General features: G+C 35.9%; 1 annotated feature.

Moving 5' to 3' along the window:
- Positions 581-770: an enhancer, noted in NCBI's record as "active region_16611". NCBI's record gives its function as "activates an Ori minimal core promoter by ATAC-STARR-seq in GM12878 lymphoblastoid cells {active_cell/tissue: GM12878}" and the evidence as "EXISTENCE:reporter gene assay evidence [ECO:0000049][PMID:35858748]".

A 4,753-nucleotide genomic window follows, 5' to 3' on the forward strand; every position in this document is an offset into this window, starting at 1 on the left:
TCCTAATAGTGCTCATCATGATTGCATACCACAATGAAAATTGAAGAGTCAGTTCCTCCTTTCTGAAGGTTCAGATACTTAGAATTCTAACATACAGGCATGGTGTTAAATACTTTGTTTATTCTCACAGTTGTTCCTTCTCTAACTGTTAGAAAAAGAAGATAGAACAGCAGATGGGCTACTAAACCCATAACAATACTGTTTGAAATTCTTGTTTCCATTTCACACAAATTGGAATTTAATGAAAACATTTAAATATAAAATGTGTACAAATAGAAGAACCTTGGGAAAAACTTTTCCATGAGGAAAATGAAAAATATGGTGAAAAGAAAGAGTCTCAAGACCTTTGGGAGAAACTAAGGTTACAGACATTTTTAAGTAATTAAGCAATGTGTTAGTTGTGGCTCTCCACTACCAGCAATAGTCTTTGCTATGGTTTGAGTGTTTGTCCCCTATAAAATCTATGTTGAAACTTAAAACCCATTTTGGCAGTAATGAGAGGTAGGGCTTTAAGAGGTGAATTGATTAATCCATTCATGAATTAAGGGACTAATGAGTTATTGGATTAATGAGTTACTGTGAGAGTGAGACTGGTGGCTTCAGAAGTAGAGGGAGGGAAACCTGAGCTAGCACACTCAGCCCCCTCACCAGGTGATGTCCCATAATGACTCAAGACTTCACAGTCACCACCAGCAAGAAGGCTCTCACCAGATGCAGCCTCTTAACCTAGGATTTCTCAGCCTTCATAACTGTCAGAAATAAATTTCATTTCTTTATAAACTACCCAGTTTCAGGTATTGTTATAAGCAACACAAAATGGACTAATATGGTCCTAATATTTTATTTTATTAGATGAAATGTTTTTCTAGATTGCTGAAATCATGGATTGTAGGAAGCTAGGACTTTTAAGATGCCAAACATATATCCAATTACGTATTCTTTCCAAATATAAAACTTTGTAAATGAGTGTGCATGTGAGTGTGCTGTATGTGTATACGTGTCTGTGAGTGTGAGGGTTTATGTATGTGATGTTTGCTGCAAAGCTGCCAACTCTCATTCTTTCAGAATGAGGTGCTTCCATTTATTGTCTCAATTTCAATCTGCCTGGGGCCTAAAATAAAGAGAGTCACAATTGATTTCAGTTGGATATTTAGAAACTCATTCAGATTCTTTCTGAGTCAATTAGATGATCACAAGTTGGCAGCTCAGTAAATTTCCTGCTGAGAACTAGATTGCAAGGGGGAAAAAAAACAAAGATATTATGTGCAATTGTTCATCAAGAATCAAGAGTCATGGATGAGACCATAATTGAAACACCTGTTCTTATATTTGCTGGGGCCCATTTTGAGTACAAAGATGAAGAAAATACATCCATACTATATCTGTGACAGAATAAGAAATATATATTTGGTCTCTGCCCTCATTTCTGATACAGAGCTTCTAAAATCCCTGTAATTTCCTGACTGTAATATCTTTTGTTATAATATTTGGTCTTAGTCCTGGTTCCTGGCACAAGAGCTTCTAAGAACCTTCAAATCTCTGTAGTGATGTGTCTTTTTGCATGCTAATGAGATGACTGGTGGCTGTATTTCCTAGATACCATTAGGATGGGGCTAGTCACCAGATAGCGCAAGGCATGACTAAAGGATTGGAATGTTCAGCCCCTCTGACTTCGGGGGAGAGAAGAGCAGCTAGAGATTGACTTAATTATCAATATCCAATGATTTAATCAATCATGCCTATGTAATGAAGCCTCCACAAAAACTCTAAGCACAGGGTTTAAAGAGCTCCTGGGTTAGTGAACACATATATGTGCCAGGAGGGTGGCACACCCTCAGCTCCACAAAGACAGAGCTCCGGTGTTAAGGATGTTTTCAGACTTCATCTATGTACCTGTTCACTGTTCACCTGCATCCTTTGTAATATCCCTTGTAATAAACTAATACACATAAGTAAATGTTTCCCTAAGTTTTGAGAGCTGTTATAGCAAATTATTGAACTCAAGTTGGGAGTTGTGGGAACTCTTAATTTGCAGCCAGTAAGTCAGAAGTACAGGTGACAAACTGGGACCTGTGATTGGCATTTGAAGTGGGGAGCAGTCTTGTGGCACTATGCCCTTTACCTGGGGGGTCTACACTAGCTTTGAGTAGTTAGTGACAGAATCAAATTATAAGACACACTGTTAGTGTCCAGAGAGTTAGAGAATTGAATGGTGTGGGAAAAAGACCCATATATTTTGTGTCAGAAATATAGGTATAGAATAACAGTTGTTTTGTTTTGTGCTAAATTATCCATAGATTTTTTTTATTGTCTTTTATAGTGGGCATCAGTGAAAGCAGGGTGTCTATTACAGTAGTCTTTTTTTTTTTTTCTTCATCTCTTTTTTTGAGATGGAGTCTCACTCTGTCACCCAGGCTGGAGTGCAGTGGCACAATCTCGGCTCACTGCAACCTCCGCCTCCAGGATTCAAATGATTCTCCTGCCTCAGCCTCCCAAGTAGCTGAGCTTACAGGCACGTGCCACCACACCCAGTTAATGTTTGTATTTTTAGTAGAGATGGGGTTTCACCATGTTGGCCAGGTTGGTCTTGAACTCCTGACCTCAGGTGATCCGCTCGCCTTGGCCTCCCAAAGTGCTGGGATTATAGGCATGAGCCACCGCACCCAGCCTTCAGTAGACATTATTTTATGAGACACATGGTGAGACTGATTTAATCTGAAGCCAACAATGATTTGGGCTCCCTTTCTTGCTCTTGCTATATATTGAGAGAGTAAAAGGTCCTAAATAAGGTTTTAAAGATATTCAGAAGCACTGGCAAATATGAGTTGACACCATATTCCCATATCTGATAACAAGAGATAAATTCTAAACAATTTTATATAATTCCATTATCTCCTCAGCAATGGCCTTGTCTCTGGGAATAATACTAGAATGCCTATTATTCTCTTATAAAACTAGTAGTCAATCATTATTGTTTTAGTAGCTACCAAGAAAGTTAAGTTTTTCAGTTAGGTTATTATTTTAAGTAAAGAAAAAACTAACTGGATTATTTAAAGCAGGGGTGAGCAAACTTTTCTGTAAGAGCCAGATTTTTTTAGACTTTACAGTCTCTGTGGCAACTAGTCAATTTGCCGTTGTATTGTGAAAGCACCTATATACATGTAACGGATGAATGTGCTTGTGTTCTAATAAAACTATACCGATGAACACTAGCATTTGAATTTTATATAATTTTCCAGGTCATAAAGTATTATTTTTCTTTGTTTAACGTAAAAATCATTCTTAGCTATAGGTTATACAAAAACAGACAGGATTTGGGCCCATAGGCCATAGTTTACTATCCACTGATCTAAAGAATTAACACCGATTTGAACTACATCTCACTAAATATCAATATTCTATTTTGCCTAACGCTCAGTGCTAAATGTCATAGGGATAAAAGGCCATGGCAATTAGAAAAAACAACACTGCTTTGTGTGCCAGAAAGCATTAACAATTCCTTTCACTGCATTCCTCCAAATCACAGAATTTATTGACTATCCCCTTGTCCGTGATTGAAGGATCTAAGGAAGGAAATTAATACCTCAATTATTTGACAGGGCCAAGGAGAGATATTTTCTGACTAATGAAATATTTTAATCAACTAAAGGTTATCTGACTTAAGCATGAAGTCATTATTTGGGATGCAAGGACATGTGGAAGTCTCCTGAACATAAGAAGAACAATTTTATCAGCCACAAATCTTCCGTCTAGAAACCTAATTGTGGAACATTCTAGTAATACACACACTTTGAAGACTCAATAACTAAAAAGGATAAAAAGGCTATGTTAAGAACGTATTCTATGTAAATATATAATATAAATATATAAAATATATAAACATAATATAAATAGAATCTTTCAAATTTCTCTTCAAACAATAGTTAGCAGAAGTTTCTGATATTCACAGAATGAAAAGGTGTTTTTATAATTGAATCTGATTTAAAATGCAAAAAAACTAAAAGTGACTTTAAAAATCAAGAAGAATTTCAATGTTGTACAAATTAAAGAGTTTTTGCTAGAAAACTTTAATGTGGGAAGTTGTCTCCGCTGTTAAGTAACAAATCCAAAATGTAACATATTTTTTCTCTTAAATGAGGGGAGATAATATGGAAAAAAAAAGAAAGAGAGAAAGAGAACATTGCTTTTATTACAGTAAGTGAACAGGGAGCAGATGTTTAGCACCCATGACACAGTAGGCTTCCCTAGTTGAGATGTTGTTTTAACTGTCTGTCCTAGATGTGAGGAAGTTAAACAGTTACATCCTGGGTATTATATTATATTTCATAATATAAAACATAATACATATTACATATAAACATATTAAACATAATATATATTGGTTCTGTTTCTCTGGAGGATCCTAACTAATATACAGAAAATGTTTTGGAGTTTTGTAATGGAAAAGCCATTTTAATCTCAGATTTCAGCAAGGAAAAAATGTTCTGAAGTAAACAGACAATGAAATCTTCTTGTCACCATCACCACCACCATTACCATAGTCCATCAAATGCTATTTATGGCAGATTCAGCTGCAAGACCCTGATAGCAATTACAGAGAATTTAAAACAAACAAGCAAAGACCAAGCAAAATCTATGTTGTTAGAGAAAAGAGAACCTAAGGAATATCCCCCAAATACTTTGAATAAATTTTAGGTGTATTGATTAAGGCCTAGAAAGGAAGAAAAATGGCACACTCAAATGAGATAATTGA

Source organism: Homo sapiens, chromosome 2 (assembly GCF_000001405.40).
Source record: "Homo sapiens chromosome 2, GRCh38.p14 Primary Assembly".
Taxonomy (NCBI): domain Eukaryota; kingdom Metazoa; phylum Chordata; class Mammalia; order Primates; family Hominidae; genus Homo; species Homo sapiens.